We start from the raw sequence: 16,500 nt of genomic DNA, 5'->3' as shown, positions 1-16,500 counted from the left end.
AAGTTGAGTCCTAATGGCATCTATATTGAGCTTGTTGCCAAACATTTATGTAGATTCAAACGTATCAGTAGGTCAAAGATCCATAGTGAGTACTGGGAACTGGGCTCCTTGCCCAGCATCCTCCCACTTTCTGCTTCAACCAAGTGAGGTTGAGTGGCACCTGTCAGATTATGTGGAAGCTGTTTGCCTCCTTCCTTACATGTCCTCACTTCTGGTCCACAGGTGCAAGATAAACTCAATTCTTCTCTTTCCACCCGCCTCCACCCCATGGTTTTGACTTGTGCTCTGGAGAAAAGCAGGTTTTGGTTTTTCTGATATGGATTGTCTATTTGTGAGGTTTCCCCAGAAGCTTGCTGCCAGGCTGGGTCATCGTCATCACTGAAACTACTTAATACCCTGAGCAAGGACGTCACCCTGTAAAAACTGAATATCACATGGATTTTAAATGCACATTTCCTATAAAAGTTTTAAAGCTTGCTGGATTTTATTAGAATATGTGAACCAGACTGAGTATATTAAATTTATGAATCCAGTTGATGCAGTACCATAATAATTCAGTATAATATGCTTATGTCATTAAACTCATAAAGAAGATTCTCTGAATAGCCGTAATGAATAGTTCTGATTCTGTAATCACAGACTAACATTTTCACCCTGATGAATTTTAACTTGGAGCTCTCAGACTTCTCTATAACATCAAGAAATAAATGCCATATTTCAAGTATTTACTTTAAAACTTAGTATAGCAAAAGTAGCTCATAGCAAAGAAATACCTGCTAAGAATTATTCATTAGAAATATTAAAAGAATTGGAAGAGAGATTGGCATGAAGTAGAATTGGACTTTAATTTATGTTTAGTCATAAATTATAAATAGAAACCAAAGAAACTTTTTTCATTCTGCTTTGACTAATTTCATTTATTCCCTCATATTTTACCTTATTCCCAAACCCATATATTTTGGTTATCTATCATTGTATAATGAACTGCCCTAAAACTTGGCACCTTAAAAACAACCACCATTTTATTGCTTATCATTATTTGGTTCTGGAAAATTTGGGCAGGGCCCAGCTGGATGGTTTATATACTCCAGGTGGTATCAAGACACGCCACTTATGGGCCTGCATTTTGATCATGACTCCACTAAGGACTAGGCTCAGCTGGGGCTCTCAAGTCACCCATGGCATTAGTGCCAGTGCATTCTATTGGCTAAAACAAGTCACAAACCCCACCTAGGTTTAACGAAGAGAGCCACACAGGGTGTGAATCCCACGAAGCATGATGTGGTTCATTGGGGCCACCAGTACAGCAAATATCACACGTACCACTGTCCCAGCCAGCTGCCTGTTTATGACCATCTTCACCTCTGCTTGACCTTGTACTGGTTAGTTGGAAGTTTGTATTGGGCAGAAATGGATTCCACTCTTAGACTAAGGTTATTTTTAAATGATTCTGGGAATTCTGGACATTAGGAATCTCAATTGTGATATGATTCTGCCCAGAGAGATGAATAAGTATAGGAGAAAGATGACGATGTTTAAGGATACTAGAATTCTAATCCAACCTCTCTCAGCTGTAGTTCAAAGGATCTAGCTAAGATTCCTCAGCTACAACAACATTGTGATTTTATGAGGATAAGAGAAAGGACTAGGTTACCTTTCAAAGATTTTTTCAGACTCTGGAGTACTCAGACGGAAATGTTGGATGTCTACTCTCCAACACTGCTGGAGAGAGTATAAATTGTACAGTGCCCACGGAAAACAATTTGGCAATATCTATCAAAATTTAAAAGGCACATACCCTTCGACCCAGCAATTCCATTTTAGGAATTTACCCTATGGGTAAAGTGATACACTTGCTTGTATATAAGATTGTTTATTACAGTGCTATTTGTAATAATCTTCATTCTTCATTATTTCATTCAACAAATATTGACTGAGTACCTACTGTGTACGAGACACTGTGTTAAGTTCTGGGGATACATCATTCGACTAAAGTAGTGAAAAATTATCGACCATGTATAGTTTACCTACTTGCAGGACTGCAAAGGATTAGAACAGCCTACGTGTTCATTAATAATGAGCTAGTACAACCAATTTCAGAATGAGAAACTATGTACTTCTGGAGAGGTCTTTAGTGTAAGTTGTTAAGTGAACAAAGTGAGGTGCAGAAGAGTATGTTGCTTATGTACCTGCTTGTGTAAGTTGAAATGGAGGCATCTGTGTTTGTGGGGTTTGGGGGTTTGGTGCTTTTTGTTTGTTTTGTTTTGTTTTTTTGAGACAGGGTCTCACTCTCACCCAGACTGGAGTGCAGTGGCATGATCATGGCTCAACTGCAGCCTCAACCTACTGGACTCAGGTGATCCTCCCACCTCAGCCTTCCAAGTAGCTGGAACTACAGGTGCACCACCACATCTGGTTAATATTTTTGTATTTTTTGTAGAGACAAGATTTCAGCATGTTGCCCAGGCTGGTCTGAAACTCCTGGTCTCAAGTGATCCACCTACCTCAGCCTCCCAAAGTGCTGGGATTAGAGATGTGAGCCACTGCACCTGGCTGGGTGTCTATATTTGTACTTGTTTATGTAGGCATTAAAATGCCATAGAAAGATACGCAAAAAAACTAATAACAATAAATTTTTTTGGATGCACTGGAGATTTGGGAAAACACAGGTGAATTGGAAGGAATCCTTTTCATTGTAGCGAAGACATGTACACATGCATGTACAAACAATGAAAAGTTCCCTTTCAACTCATAAATATCTGTGTGTATGGCATTTTCAGTCAGTAAAGTATTACACATTTTAAAAATAAATTTTAAAAACAGGAATATTAATGCATACTCTATGCTCAGAACTCACACATTTGAAGGCATGGTTACTCCAGAATCTTAGTGTAGAACTGTGCTATCCAGTACAGTAGCCACCAGTCACATGTTGCTATTTAATTTTAAAGTAAGATGAAGATTAAGGTAAAATCAAGGTAAAATTTTAAAAATTTAGTTTCTCAGTCTCACCAGCCACATTTTAAGTGCTCAGTAGCCACATGGCTAGCATAATGGACAGCACAGATAACAGACACTTCCGTCCTCTCAGAAAGCTCCAGAAGATGGTGCTGCTCTGGGATGCTTCGTACTGGGCACAGCACAAGCCTGTGGGTGTGAGTGCGGGAGGTGGGAGGGCGCGTGCTCACCCTGAGTCTCAGGCCTGGACCGTGGGTGTTCCCAGCCAGTGTGCATGCGTGGTCCCTCTTGAGTTGGTGTGTTCTCTGCCAGGTGGCATCTACTGTGCTGTGGCCTGTTTTTCTGCCATATGTTTTATTATATTCTGGGTTACAGTTTAGACCAGGGATTGGCAAACTACAGTTCTGTAGTAGGGAGAATTCTAAGAATGACCCCCCGGTGCCGTTGTAATCCTCCCCTCTTTGAGCTCGTGAGGAACTGTGATTGTGCTACACGACATGGCGAAAGGGAGAGTGTCCCTGTGTGCTTAATCTAATCATGTGAGCCCCATAAAAGCAGAGTTTTTCTGCCTGGTAACAGAAGAGGAAGCGGAGATTTGAAGTGTCAGTGTGAAAAAAGAGAGAGTGAAAGTAAAAATTGTTTCATTTGGGATAATATGCAAGAGAGAGGATTGCAATCCGGGACATACATGCAGACCAGGGTGGCCTCTGGCAACGTCCAGGAAAAAAAGTAAAAGGTTGAGGCTTACTGGGGAAGGAGAAGGGTTTGCAAGTTGTTTTGAAAGAAAGCTTATGGTGCTGGTGGCAGCTTGCAAGGGCTGGCAAGTTCTGAGTGGCAAGTATCAGTAGTTGCCAGGTAGGACCTGTAATCTTGGAGGTACAATTAGGTCCTTACAGTTTTAGATTGGCTTGCAAAACAGTGTGCCAGGCAGGTGTTCCTGTGTAATTAGCTAGCTGTTCTTGTCCCAGTGGCTGTCCTGGTGTGACTCATGTCTTGTGATAGTTCCCGTGATCAGGCAGATCAAGCATGCGAGCCCTCTCTTCATGGCCTTCCCCAGCTCCGCTTGCCAGGGTTTGACACAAGTTACTGTCTTTGGAATCTTACAACTTTCGCAGAAGCGTGAAGGGAATCTGATGGCTGGCTTCAAATGTGGTGGAGGCTGGGTGCCACTGAATGTAGGTGGTCTTTAGGAACTGAGAGCAGCCCCTTGCTGAGAGTCAGCAAGGGAACCTCAGGCAGGACCCCAGTCCTGTGATTACAGAATGCCGTATTTGGCCAACAACCTGAAGGAGTTTGGAAGTGGTTCTTCCCCAGGGCTTCCAGATAGGAGCCCAGCCTTTTTAACACCTTCGTTTCAACCCATGAGACCATAAGCAGAGGCTACCTGCACTGTGGCAGGACTTCTGACCCACAGAACCATGAGCTAATGAATAGGTGTTGCTTCCAGCCACAACGTTTGTGGTAATTTGTTGTGCAGCTGTAGAAAACTGATATAGGCCCTCAGGTCACACCCACCTTGCCACCTGTTTTCATACTGTCTGTGAGCATGGCCTGAATTTGCTAGACCTGTGATCCATGGAGACCTGGCGGGCTCACTGCCTGTTTTCCTGGCACTCAGCTGGCAGCCACGGCTCGCTGCTCCCCAGGGCCTGTGCTGGTCACCGCCTACACACTGGGGACTTGTTGGCAACTGCCAGTCACCAAGCAGTAGAGTCTCAGTCTGGGAAGTTGTCTTGCCTCTGGTCAGCTGCCCCAGTTGAGATTGCCAGGCTCTGTGCAAAGAGGGAGGCACACTAGGATTGGCACCACCAGGCAGAGCGTGAAACTGACCATGACAGTGGCCTGCCCAGCACTGGGTGCAAAATGCGCCTTCCACCCTGGGTAGCCCACCCCAGGAAAACAGGATGGGGTGGAGCCGGAATTTTCTCTCTTATTACATAAACACCTACATAATATCCTTAATTTCGCCTCTTTGCCTACAAAGCCCAAAGTATACCATCCATCCTTTTATAGAAAAAGCTTGCCCTGCCCTGAGTTAGACTGACAGAGGCTGGGAAAAGGTATGCAAGTGTCGGCACACCAAACTTGCTGCAATGAACACAATGAAAGTCTCACACTGGAGGTTCCAATGACGTTTTATGGTGGTTTCAAGTACCTTCGGGCAAGTGGTAGACTTCAGTAGAAGTTGGGGATTAACATTTGGAGACTCGTGAAAGTCCTCTGGCATCATAAGCATCATTTGACCAACGATTGTGTATGGCAGCTGGAAGAGACTTCCTGAAGGCCTGGCAGGACTTCACCATAGAGAAGAGATACCACCACCAGCGCACAGTGCCACCACCCAACTGTGTAGGGCCCCCAGCATGGGGACTGGCAGAGCCCAGGTCCAGGAGCAGTCCTGTTCCCAGGAGTCTGTCCTATCTGCTGAATGCTCTGTGCCTGTGGGCCTGGTCTAGTCACGCTAGACAATTGGTGATGCCCCAAAGCCCTGCCTCCCAGCTGCTAGGCTTGGTACCTGCTTCCTGCTCTGCCCAGAACAGGCTTCCTCCAGTATCTTTCTCCAATGTCTTCACCTGCTTGATTCTCATCACCCTATGGGTCTTGGCATAAAAGTAACCAATTCCCAGGACTAGGCATACAGCCTTTCCTTTCCCCTGGGGTCCCAAGTCACCTCATTGCAGTTCTCTCATAGTCATATTTTAATTGTAATTACTCCTTTACCTATTTGTCTCCCAGGCAGGCAGGACTGTGTTACTTGGCACAAGAACTGAGTAGTATTAGCTGTTGAATGCCCAGCACCGTCAGGCGCGATGGCTCATGCCTGTAATCCCAGCACTTTGGGAGGCTGAGGCGGGCATATCAGCTGAGGTCAGGGGTTCGAGGCCAGCCTGACCAGCATGGTGAAACCCCATCTCTACTAAAAAATACAAAAATTAGCCAGGCATGGTGGCACATGCCTTTAGTCCCAGCTACTCAGGAGGCCGAGGCAGGAGGATTGCTTGAACCTGGGAGGCGGAGGTTGCAGTGAGCTGAGATCATGCCACTGCACTCCAGCCTGAGTGACAGAGTGAGACTCTGTCTCAAAAAAAAAAAAAAAAAGAAACAGAAAAAGAAAAAAAAGAATGCCCAGCACCTAGCCCAACACTGGTGTGTAGAAAGCTTTCAGTAAGTACTTATTGGGTGCATGAATGAAGTCTGAAGAGAAGGGAGTCAGTACACAGCACACCTTGAACCAGTCCTTGGAAGATGAGAAGGATCTAGATGATGGGAGCAAAGCACCCATGGGAACAAGGAGAGACTCTGAGCAGTGGAGGATGGTGCCAGCCAGCATGCACCTGTGAGGGGAGGAGGGGAGGCACCGTGTCTGTTTCATTCAGCTCAATACCCAGGCCTGGCTTACTGCTTCTTGGAGAACACGTGTGCAGTGACTGCGCTGGATGGATGAGTTACCCAAACCAAGCTGTCCTGATTTCCTTGGAGTGTGGAGCACATTTGGGAGCATGTTGGAAAGGGAACCCAGCCTATTTGACCCAGTGTAGCCAAACTTTAGGATTCCTAAAAAGCCAACAAGAGGTATTTAGACTTGAATTTATGGGAGTTTAGAATTGGGAAGACTTGACTGGATGGATCATATTGACCACACTGGGTCGATGCGTGATACATAGCCAGGGGTGACCTGAACTCTTTCAGGTCTAGAAACATCCCTGAGTAGCTCCATTCAGGCCTGATCCATCTTCAGGGCCCATCAGTGGATGATGCATTTTCCAAGTACTGCGAGTTAAATGAGACCTCTAAGTCTTACTAGACTGATACTTGTCTTTAAGCCGCCACCGTGGTTAATGACTTCTGAGAATGAGGAATGCCACTGAACTCCTTTCTCTGTTAATATGTCACTATGGAAAGGTGGATAAAGTTCCATTATATTTTTAAAGAACATTTCAATTTTAGTAATTTCAGTAACTTTAAATTAAATTATAGATTTATGTTAAAATTTTGTAAAATAAAGAGGACCTCACAACAATGAGATGGCCGGAAAAATCATTAGAATGATATGGATGAGGTGATATATTGCACATGAAATAAGCAGTAGGCTGCAGTTATAGTCATGAGCCCTATTAAAACAGAAACTTTTTAATAACATAAAATGGTCACAATTTTATCTCCCTGATAATTAAAATAGAAGGCAGAGAGCCAGCAGATAAGGAGGCTTAGGTCTTTCAAAGGCATCTGAAGGCCCAAATTCTCATGCTTGCATTTTCTGCGCACACACACACACACACACACACACACGTGCGCGCGCAGCAGTTGACTGAAATTCAGGGAAAATTCTGGGAGGCTGCATGTGCATAGTATGGACAGCCCCAAAGAAAGGCCATGTTACATTTCAGGCTTACGGGCTTGAACCTTCGGGATTAAATTAGGCAATAATGGCTTTCTCCTACATTTGAAGAGCTGGTCACTTTGTCAGCCTCTTATGACCTGTTGACCTTAGCCAAGTCACTGCCCCTTGGAATCTCAGTTACTTCCTCTGTAAACAAAGGACATCCATTCTTGTCCCTCTCCTAAGGGTGTCTTAGGGGCTCACATAAGCTCATGAACCGGAAACTTTGTACGAAGTACCTGCAGGCTGAATCCATATTCAAGGCCCTCTGCATTCTGCTTCACATCCTGCTGTTTCCCACCCAGATCCTTGCACAGGCTGGCCTTGGCCTTGCTCTCTTGCTCAGACTGTTAGCTGAACTTGGACACCACCCCTCCTTCCCTCCATCCCCTGGTCTAAAATTGTCCTTTCTTTCAAGGTCACAGACCTAAAAGGGAATGGGTGTAAGAGAGGGGGGAAGCCACACCATGCAGCTCCTTGTTGACTTCACAGGTTTTTGCCAGGATGGACTATGAAATCCATGGTTAGTTCCTGTGAGCAAACCAGCATTTCACCCAAAAGATTTACAGTTCAAAAGAAAAACCCAAAAGAAGCTGCCTAAAGGCCAGATTTTGCCCACATTTTTCCAGTAACTCCAAAGCATGTTTCCTTTCAGGCAGAGCTCAGACTGAAATTGTATTGTAGGTCACACATGAATCATAGTAATATAATGACCTTCAAGAATGTCTAAATGGAATAGCATGTAGCAGCAAATTATATTTTCAATTTTTTTTCCTGATGCATAAACTAATTGAGGTGCCATGCTAAAGCTCTAATATAATGGACTAAATTCTTGCTGAATTACTCTGTATTGCTGTAGGGAGTTCATTTTGCCTTTCACAACTTATTAACACAGCCAGTAGACCATATTAGCCTGTGTTTTGGTTCAAAAGATTGATAGTGTTTAGTAGTTGTCTTTTGAAATGGCATTGGAAATTTAAAGATTGGGCTATGTGTAGATCAGGGTCTGGGGCAGGAGCCTTCCAGCTTCAGGCCTAGCTGTGGATGGACCACCGGGATACTCTGACCTATCTGAAATGTGATTCTCCAGAGCCTCCTAGGATCGACCTTTTCCTAAGAGAAGAGCGTGATAGGCAGATACCTCCATCTTAGCATAGACTAGCCCTGGAGGAGCTTGATTGTGTTCTACAAGGAAGGTTTCTTCTGATTCCTGACCCTTGTCTGCCCCCTGCCAGCGCTGTGAGATTATTGTTAGTTAACTTGATGGTAAACAGTAGAAAATGACTGTCACCACAGTAAACAGATGGAATCATTCGCTCCTAGCCTTGGGAATGGACAGAGACCAAAGGCTCTCCTGAAACTGCCCAGCTTTCCTGAATTTCTCAAACTCTTGAAAATGCTCCATAACAGCAGCTACACAATCTGGAAGAGGTGTCCCCCAAAGGACCCTTGGTTCCAGGAGACTCCAAGCGCTAGTAGCTTGATTAGCTCTTTGGCTGTAAGGTGTCCACCCAGAATATCATGGGAAAAGCTTATCTGTCCTATGCCTTAAGTCAACCAGTTAACCAATTCCCAGAGAGGGGAAAGGTGTTTCTTCAGAAGGGGATTGGGCTGCTGTTTGGGAAGGGAAATGGGTACAGGGCAGTCAGAGAATGGCCAGTGCCCACCAAGGCACTGTAAGGGAGATACCGAAGCATTCCCTGAGCTGCCTTGGCTCCCTGTAGAAGAGCGTGAGCCTTGCAGAGAAACAGGACCTTCCCCGTGTTTGTAAAGAACTTTTAACTCTGAAGAACCAGTGCCTGCTGGTCCCCACGAAAGCACCATCAGGCCTAGGAAAGGCAGTGCATCTGACCCAAGCAGCTAAGATGCCCGGTGTAGACAGACTTGCCCGGTGAGAGACCGTGTGGCTCAGCAGAGGGGACCTGACTGAGAAGCAGGGGATGGCGGGTGCTGTGGGTAGCAGGCAGGAGCCTGAGTCTAGGGTGTCTCTCATATCACCACATCCCCCCTTCTTCTGCTCGTGTCTTCTGGCCTCCACTTTAAAAGCTCATAGTCCTGTACAGGATTTTGTGTTTGTTTGTTTTGGGGAGATTTTAAACATCATGTGCCAGGGTCACACTTTCTTTGGAACAGACCCATGGGGGTCCATGTCTCCCAGTTACCTGTAACCCCTGCTCACTGCCCCTGAGCAACAAAATATGCCCAAAACCTATAGAAGAAAGGCAATTCATGAAATCGAGGTACTCTATGTCAGCACTGAAATATACCGTAAAGATTAGCCATCTAAATTTGATTTTCTGAAAGTATTGATAAGAAAACACCTACATCAGTATTGGTCCAAGTCACAAAAAGTAAATAACCTAGATAGATATCTGATATATTTCTTATTATTCTTAAATTCTTTTTGCCAGCTTGGTAAACAAATAAATCATGGGTACCCGTCTCCAACGTTGTTGTGCTGGTTTGGTTTCCTTTTCATTTCCACCTCTTTTGTCTTCCCCTCCATCCCAGCCCTGTTTCTCTTGTCCTCCCCTAGACAGCCCCCTCTGTCTCTCTGTGGCCCCCTGTCTCTCTCGGCCTCTTCTCTTTCCCATGATCACTCACTGTCAGACAGACCCTCTCCTAGGCCCCCTTTGGCTCCGCCATCCCATCTTATTTCTGGTTTGCAATCGTATTGAAAGAAGATTTGGTTTAATCTGACTTTCCTCCTCCAACTATCCAAGTCAGGGCCATAATGTTGTGCAACCCTAGGAGGTGCTTTTGCTGTTCTCAGTGGCCCTGACACAGGACATTTGACAAAGCAAAGACTCAGGTGTGTCACTGTCCACCAGGTGAACAAGAGCTGCAGGCCTTCTGTGGTCCCTGACGTGCTAGAGATTTAAATACGCCTGCTTTTATTTCTTTTTATAATGGAGAAAATGTCCTGTGAAAGTCAGAAACAGATTGGATATTGGATTTCACAAATCTTTTTCCCACTTTGCCCTTCTGACCTGGATAAGTCACTTAAACTCCTAATATCCTTCAGTTTTCGCAATGCTCTTTTATAAAGCGTGCTGACCTGGGGAGATGCAGCTTGACACCTGGACTGATTTTTCACATCCTGGGAGGGCTACGGTGACTTTGGGGTCAACAACAAGGGATAGCTTTGACAGGGGGATTTTAATTTTCTCCCTTCAGCCACAGATGCTGTGGAAAACATTGTGAGCACAGGCAATAAAAATTACTAATATGAATGTGTGTTGTTAGGTAAGTATGTATATTTTAAATATTTTATATATATATATATATATAATATGTACATAAAATAGCAGAGTTCAAGTACATTGGCTAAGCTTAGATTTGAGTGTAAATCTCTACAGGAAACTTCTTTATTGGAAGGATAGTGATAAACTTGACTCATCAGACACCAGTAATATTGGGAAGTAGATTTCATTAGTGAAGAAGAGTTCAGACTAAAGGACCAAAGCGGTGACCAACGCTTATCCCTGTGTTAAAGCCAATCGGTGGTTTTGTTCAGATGTGAAGTACTGCACAGTGCTGGTACTCAACAGACCACAGCTATGCGCACAGCATGGCCGCATCTCACAGACACGGCATTAAGCCATGGAAGCCAGACACAAAAGAGTATATCCCAAATGATTCCGCTCATATGAAGTTCAAAAACTGGCAATTCGAATCTCTGGTGCTAGAAATCAGAATAGCGATTGCCCTTGAGGGAAGGTTTGTACCGGAGGAGGGAGTACGAGGAGGGCTGCCTGGGGGCTGGAAGTGTTGTATAATTCATATCTAGATGCTGATGGCATAGATATATTAACTTTGTGAAACTGTATTCAACTGTACACTTGTGTGTGGTTTTCTGTGCATATACTTTAATTCAAAAAAAGATAACTAATTAAAATCAGCAAGGTTTCCTCTCAGCACGTTTCCTAAGCTTGGCAGTGTTCCAGGGATGATAGGGGGCTTCAGAGAAGAATGAGACACTGTCTGTGACCTTAAGAACTTTCTAGAATTCTAGTTCTGTCTTGTGTCCCCAGCTGTAGCCCCAGTCCCTTGTTTTTTTTTCATTTGCCAGAATTTGTTCAGCCCATTTGAAGCATGTGGCTCTGGACATGGCCAACAAAGGTCATGCCTCATCTTAACAGACTTTAGAGCACTTTGAGGTCGCTGCAAAGAACGCTTCCTAATCAAATCATTTCTTTGCGCCAAGGAAGCAGGCTATGTAAAGGAGGCGAAAGCTGCCTAATTCTCCTTAAGCAGAAATTTGTTTTGCGAAGAGAAAACTCTTCTGTAATGTTTAGAATTAGTCAAATCAGATCATTCTATCTGGAGTTTTTGTCAAACAACACTAATGAGTTTATTTAAAGAAAAAGACATTACCTGACAGTTGTATTGTTCTCTTCTTATGGTGGTGCTCTTGAAGGGAGGTGTCTCAAATACTTCCTCTTTTCCTTTCATTTATATTTTTAACTTTTACTTCTCTTCTTATTATACCCTTTAGGCTTTATTGGCCCTTTATAGGGACCCTACTTTGTGTACTAATTATGACAAATGCTGATATAACATCTGCTCCCAGATTTAAATTGCCTTCCAGTCTGTCAGAGTTCATCTTGAAGTCAGCTTTGCTGTAAACATCAGCCTGCCTGTTAATGCAGCCTGTGGGAGACCTGAAGCCGGAGCCCACAGGAGCTACCTGAGATGAGGCCTGTGCAGCGAGCCTTGCTCTATCATGCATTAAACTGTGAAAGAGCAGTGGCTCCATGCACAAGTCAGCAAGCTCTGCATCTCCCGTTTTCCAAATCATCTCACCCTTGATCTTCCCAGAACAATCAGTTGTGCACATGCATTGCACCGCGAGCATTGGCTGGTTGAGTGTAGTCTACGATATATACTGGTGACCCTGTTTGATGCAATTCAAGTCCCTTTAAAGTTGATATTCTCAGGGTCCCTTCCCGCAGAAAAGTGGAAGTCAGGTCTCTCTTTGCCCCTCTGATAAAAATAATTACTAAGATTAAGATCTTCACTTTTCAGCAGTTGATTTTCATAACTTCTTACCAATACCTAATTTCAATTTCAGGATCGTTTCTTGAGAGGGTACCATGAGACCAGTAAGTTAGGGATATGGAACAAGAAAAAACATCTTGAGTTGAGAATACTTGCTTTCAAGTCTTCTCTCTAGATTACTAGCCTTGCTCACCTCTCCTGGCAATAGCTTCCTTACCAGGAAATGGGTAATACCAGAAGAAGATGTGATTCCAGGCCAAGTGTAAGGATAACATAAAGTTAGGTGCCTTAGGAAACTTTTGAAGGGGATGCAAATATTTATCTTGATTTAATGGTGGTTTCACATGGGTCAGCACTCATGAAGTTATACATTTAAAGAATGTACAGTTTATCTGGCCGGGCGCAGTGGCTCACACCTGTAATCCCAATACTTTGGGAGGCCAAGGGGGGTGGATCATTTGAGGTCAGGCATTTGAGACCAGCCTGGCCAACATGGTGAAACCCCGTCTCTACTAAAAATACAAAAAAATTAGCTGGGCATGGTGGCACATGCCTGTAGTCCCAGCTACTCAGGAGGCTGAGGCAGGAGAATTGCTTGAACCCAGGAGACAGAGGTTGTGGTGAGCTGAGATCGCGCCACTGCACTGCAGCCTGGGAGACAGAGCAAGACTCCGTCTCAAAAAAAAAAAAAAAAGTACAATTTATCATGCACCAGTTTTACTTCCATTAAGTGTAAAACATTGGATGTTAGAAGATTTTTAGAAACTAAGTTATTTTACAAGTGTTGTTGTTAGTAGTCCTCATTAATATTTTGAAGGAGAATTAACAAATTCTCGTTGAGTAGAATGTCTTCTTTCAGAAGGAAATTTCAGGTTGGCAATTCATAGAGGTAGCTAAATTCTACTTTCTCTTCTCAACTGTGGCATCGTCGACATTTGGGCCAGATAATTCTTTGTCCTGTGCTTTGGCATCCCTGGCCAGCATCCACCAGGTGCACTGCCTGTGCACCCCTATGTGACACTCAAAACTGCCACCAAACACTGCTGAACACTCTATGGGGCAGAACTGCCTCTTGTTGGGAACTACTGCTCCAGGCTTAGGCCATGTTGCTTTCACAAATTTTTTGTTGTTACTCAGAGTCCAGAATTATTATGTGTAATTCCTAAGACTGTGCCAGGGTTGTTTGGGTTTTTTAAGCACACTGAGACAATAATAAAGGTTTGGGTCTAACCCCTTCCCTCCAGCCCATTTTCTGTTACAGATGAGATTTGCCTGGCCTAAAATATATTAACTATTCTTGTGTGCCCTCTTTTCCTTGAACACATCCCTCCAGCTCCCACATCTGATTTTATCCCCAGTTCCCAGAGCCTAGTCTCACATATGCTTTGCTTTCTCAGTGCCAAAAACGGCAGATAATGTTGCAACAAACATGCAGCAGGGGTCTGGAGCAAGTAATTGTAGTAAGGATTCCTTTTTGTTGATGATTATAGGACATGCAAAAAGATCTGTAAATATCAGTACTTGGAACTGACCCTCTTGTCCTCAGTATTGCTTTCCCTTTATTTTATAAGAAGGATTCAAAACAGATACTGACTGTGCAATTTTAAAATACCAGTAAGCAGCACATTTAACCTTGTACAGATGGCCGGCCTTTTTTTTTTGTTTTTTTTTTTTAATCATCTTTCTATTTAATGAGTAACTGGGAGCGGGGAGGAAATGACTTTTTTAAATAAGAGATTAACTAGTGACACTGTGGCTGAGAGGCAGATCCCCTGTGCCTGGCACCCTTGACATTTTCCTAGGCATTGTCTGCTGTAGATCTGAGACAGTGCTGCCCAGAATCAGTGCTGAGCCAAAGATATTTCTTCTGTGCATATGTATTTTGTGACTCCGTCTTCTCTGGTTGGTCTGATGATAGGTGGGACAGTGGAGGGCATTCCTCACGTGCTGGTTTTAATGACAATGATAGCACTTTCCAGGTGGGTGGGAAGTTGTTTCTGGAAATTTTTTCTCTTCTTGACACCATCCAACAGTACCTTGACCGTATTCTGATTGATTGATTGATTGATTGATTGATTGATTGATTGAGACAGGGTCTTGCTTTATCACCCAGGCAGGAGTGCAGTGGCACCATCACAGCTCACTGCAGCCTCTACCTCCTGGGCTCAAGTGATCCTCCTGCCTCAGTGCACCACCCTGTCCAGCTAATTTCTTTATTTTTTGTAGAGATGAGGTTTCTCCATGTTGCCTGGACTGGTCTCAAACTCCTGAGCTCAAGCGATCCCACCCGCCTTGACCTCCCAATTGACCATGTTCTTAACTCTTGTCTCTTCCACAGAAATACCTCAGGGACTTTTTCAGCGTGATGCTCCAGTCCGCAACATCTCCCCTCCACATCAACAAAGTGGGACTGACTCTCTCGAAACATACCATTTGTGAGTTTTCACCATTCTTCAAGAAAGGAGTCTTTGACTACAGCAGCCACGGGACGGGGTAGAGCCAGGGGTGATGGAGGAACCACCACAGCAGTGCCTTCTCGTCGAAGCGGGCTCCGATGCAGGGCAGCTCCCCCATGCGAGGATCCGGGTCTGCCTCCTCCTGCTGAAGACAGACATGCAGCAGCGGGCCCGGGCCACCTCACGTTTCCATACCTAGTGCCTGAGTTTGGGGATGGGATGCTCTGCCTGCTGATGTGGCCCTGACAGGCAGCCGTTACCGTTCCATTGCGGTTGAACGTGGCCTTTTCCCACAGTGCTTCCTTCTCACTGCGCAGCAAAGTTCGTCCCCTGTGGCAAGATAGATGTGGTTGGGCCATCGTGGGTTCCCTGAGCCCAGCCAGCCTGGGACCTCCCAAAGTGGGTGGCTTACCAGACCACCCTTAAATGACTTTCATCTGGTTTCCTCTTTCACCAAAATATACTCGTATTTTTTATATTTCTTCCATGTGGCTGGCTATATTCCAAGAAAAGCATTTTAAATTATTTCATTGTATTTTTTTCTTTTTTTCCCTCATTTGAATCAGAACTTTTATATAAAACCCAAACACTGATGTTTACACAGAATTTCATATTCTGCAAAAGGGATTTTTTGATCCAATCATGACTGTAGTCTTCCATGCTTGACAAATTGGATGTAGACAACATTACTTAAAACTTCTATAAATCCCTACAATTAGGATATTTATTTAACCTTGAATATTCAAGAACATTCTCCCAAATCTAAATGGCTACTGTGCATTCTTGAGCTTTTTCTGCTAAGCACAAAATGAACGCAAAGCTAAATGCATATTTTTAAGTATTATTCACATTTTTTGTTACAGAATCTATTGGATCTTTGGCTGGAAAACTAGAATTTATAGCAGTTTATTAATGATACCTTAAATTACTCAGGACTTAATGTAGCATTGCACTTCTGTGTACAGTAAAACTGCTTTGTTTTACTAAAGAGAAAAATGTGAGTGGAAAAAATATGTATGTGGTATATACTCAAATGTATATAATTCTATCTATAGATTTATATATGTATACATTCTGTACAGTAGTTCCATCAAAATATGTAATAATTCACACCAATTTTATTAAATGTATTTGCTTTTTCAAAATTTAAATTGAGCTGCTATCAATATTAAATGAAGTTATGGCATCTACCCTGTAGCTCAGCTTATTTTAAGTCTGTAACATGATCATTCATACTAGTCTGTTTAAACATTGATCTAATGTTCTTGGAAATATGCATAATGTATAACTCAGCATTTGTGTTGCAGAAGATGCAGTGATAGTAATGATTGAAGTCGTAAATGAATGGTTAACAGAACATGTTTGCATTCCATCTTCTAGAGAATGCCTTCACAACAAAGTTCTCCAACCTGAAAAATATGCATAAACGTGCAATTATCCCTATAAGGAGGAAAACTAGTATTGCACTAATTAAATATCATAGTATAGTGTGAAAAAAAATGAGGACATTTTTGCTGCAGAAGGACCTGCTTTTGTCTGCAGTTGTGATTACAGGAATAGGTTTAGGAGCAATTACTACCAGAGAATTTCAAACTAGAGATTAAGGGATAAGAGCTGGGTAGATAATAATTAACCATAGGTCATTTATTTAAGAGGAGTCTTAAGCCCTAAAGATGGTCCCTCATTTGCTGAGTAAACTAAGTG

The 16,500-nt window shown here is 43.5% G+C and overlaps 1 protein-coding gene across 12 annotated transcripts in view; it reads left to right on the top strand.

Moving 5' to 3' along the window:
- KIF16B (kinesin family member 16B) overlaps positions 1–15,986 on the top strand; it is a 301,345-nt gene extending 285,359 nt beyond the window's left edge. For all 12 annotated transcript variants that reach the window (XM_047440266.1, XM_047440264.1, NM_001199865.2 and 9 more), the window contains one exon: positions 14,679–15,986. In XM_047440266.1, the coding sequence (XP_047296222.1) occupies positions 14,679–14,837 (159 nt within the window). In that variant the 3' untranslated portion in view covers positions 14,838–15,986. The remainder of the gene's footprint in view (positions 1–14,678) is intronic.

Source organism: Homo sapiens, chromosome 20 (assembly GCF_000001405.40).
Source record: "Homo sapiens chromosome 20, GRCh38.p14 Primary Assembly".
Taxonomy (NCBI): Eukaryota; Metazoa; Chordata; class Mammalia; order Primates; family Hominidae; genus Homo; species Homo sapiens.
This window is presented reverse-complemented; position numbering and strand designations above follow the sequence as displayed.